General features: G+C 52.0%; 1 annotated feature.

Annotated features, from left to right (window-relative positions):
• Positions 938–1,439: an enhancer, noted in NCBI's record as "H3K4me1 hESC enhancer chr2:130056887-130057388 (GRCh37/hg19 assembly coordinates)". NCBI's record gives its function as "activates a minimal SCP1, AML or CMV promoter by ChIP-STARR-seq in primed H9 embryonic stem cells {active_cell/tissue: H9 hESC(primed)}" and the evidence as "EXISTENCE:reporter gene assay evidence [ECO:0000049][PMID:30033119]".

Raw genomic sequence — 2,298 nt, 5'->3', positions numbered from 1 at the left:
AAAGAAACACAGACCTGGTGGAGAGCATAGGTCTGGCGGGCCCTTTCCATGAAGAGCTCGCTGCTCCAGGGACTGAAGGCTGCAGCGGTCAGGCCCACTGTCAGTTCAGCACCACAGCTGTAGAGAGCCATTCGCTCAGGGCACCCCAGACAACCAGGACTCTATTAGGCAGGAGCACAGAGGCCTGGCCACCCCGGGCCCAACTCAGGACAGCCCCAAAGGCCATTCTAGCCTGAGGACCCCCAGAGCAGGCAACAGAGCCTGTCCTCGGTGCTGCCTCATAGCTCAACCTCCTCCCTTTCCTTCATAGGCACTGACCCTGGGGACGCTTCTCAATAAACACCCGCCCTGCCAAAGCCCATCTCAGAGGTGGCTTCCCAGGGATCCCAACCTATCACATGAGCTTTAAGATTGGGATGGCGCGGGGGTCATGGACATCAGGAGAGGTTTTCAGGAAGGGAAGGGCGTTCTGAGAGCCCCATGACACTCAACTCAGGCCTACTTCGGTCTGAGCAGGAGGAAACAGGTGCAGTGGAGGAATCCCATGGAAGCTGTGGCACTAGCATTGTCGGACAGTACTCCTCAGGGGGCCCCACAGCAGCCCAGATCCCTGTGGGAGGGTGAAAGGAAGGAGCGACCCGTTGGCAGGTGGGGTCACTGCAGGGTGGCACTGATGGGGACACACTGAGCTCAGGGATAGGGTGGAGGTGGACTGGACTGAGAGCAGCGTCAGAGGGGAAGGCACTGCAGCAGGGGCCCGACATAGGCAGAGGCAGGGGTACATGGTAGGGGTGAGCAATGGTGTAGGGTGCCCTCTGAGGCCGAGAGGGAGCACTGTGGAGGCTCGACCCCCACCCCCGCAGCTGCGCAGAGTTGGGGAGATTCTGGCAAAGGCTGCTCTTCCAAAGGCCTGTGGGGAGGTCCTTGCAATGGCAGGTGGGATGGCTAGAGTGGTTCATGACATGCCCAGAGCCTGGCCTTTATCTCATGCAACAGGCACCTACTGCCTGTGCCAGCACAGTGCCTGTCCTGCATCAGGGCTTGCGGGGGTCAGAGGTGGGGACACCCCAGAGGGAGACTGCTGCAGCAGAGGTGGGGGCTGCACTAACCTGGAAGACCCTGTGGAGAAGACACATTGGCAGGTCAAGGCCTGGGCTCTGGAGCTGGAAGGGTGGGCTGAATCCGTGAGGCCCTTTGGGGCCCACTGGCTCACATTCCTAAGGAGGAAGCATTTCCCCTGAGGGCATGTGGGAGCTGCTCCCCCAGGGTGGGGTGGGTGAGCTGGGAGAGCCACCAGGTGGAGGTGAAGGTGTGGGTCAGAGCCCCATAGTCAGCTGTTAGATTGTTTCTAAAACAAAAGTAAAGGGGGTCTGAATGAGGTTGAGTTTCTCTTTAGGGCAATAGGCACATACTTTGGCCGACTCAGACGCCTGTTCTCCTCCATTTTCTTGGCTTGTTTTCTGAAGAAATAAGTCTCACAGCACTGTGGAGGGTGTGTGTGTGTGTGTGTGTGCATATCTTTTGGGGTGCGGGCTATTTTCTCCAGTCTCCAGTGGGAGGTCACCTCATAGCCCCGCTCATTTCCTCCAGCCATGGGACAGCATGTGGTGGTTAGTGACCTGCATTTGATAACTCAGCATGGGTGAATGGAATTGAGATGTACAACAAATCATAAATGTGAATACTTCTACATTATACAGAATACGTTCGTGTCAAAATATTTATTCATAAACAGATAATAGGATGAATGTGTCTCTATAACTTAAAATCAAACATATAATTAAATTGATTATATGATTTTGAATCCTCAAGAATAGTCATTTAAAGACAGATGATTTTGAATGAAGAACATAAATAATAAAATTGATAAAGTAATTGTGGTGGAATTTGAGTCAATCATGCCGTCAGTTCTTTCCCATTTTCTGTTCAGAGGTACGCAACCCCTCGATTATTCTCACGGATGTAAAAATTGGCTTCACTTAAAGTGTCTAATAATACTTAATGGTAATCGGTTGGACATGCTCTGCCTGACCCAGATGTAGTTAGCTCTAGGGTCTTGCCAGCTGGGACTGGGAAGCCAAGACTTTAGGGACCACACTGCTCTGTTTGCCTCCTATATGATATCTTGTGAAATATGACATTAACAATGATTTCCAATAAATGGGACATGATGCATTCAGTCCAAAGTTTTGCTGCAGCTTTAAGAAAGAAACAAATAGGAGTCTAGTTGAGCAAAAGCAGCCTCAGAAAGAAGTGACCAGACCAGCAACAGCGTACCATGGATGAGCCAGGTCTTTT

This window comes from Homo sapiens, chromosome 2 (genome assembly GCF_000001405.40).
Source record: "Homo sapiens chromosome 2, GRCh38.p14 Primary Assembly".
Classification (NCBI taxonomy): domain Eukaryota; kingdom Metazoa; phylum Chordata; class Mammalia; order Primates; family Hominidae; genus Homo; species Homo sapiens.
This window is presented reverse-complemented; position numbering and strand designations above follow the sequence as displayed.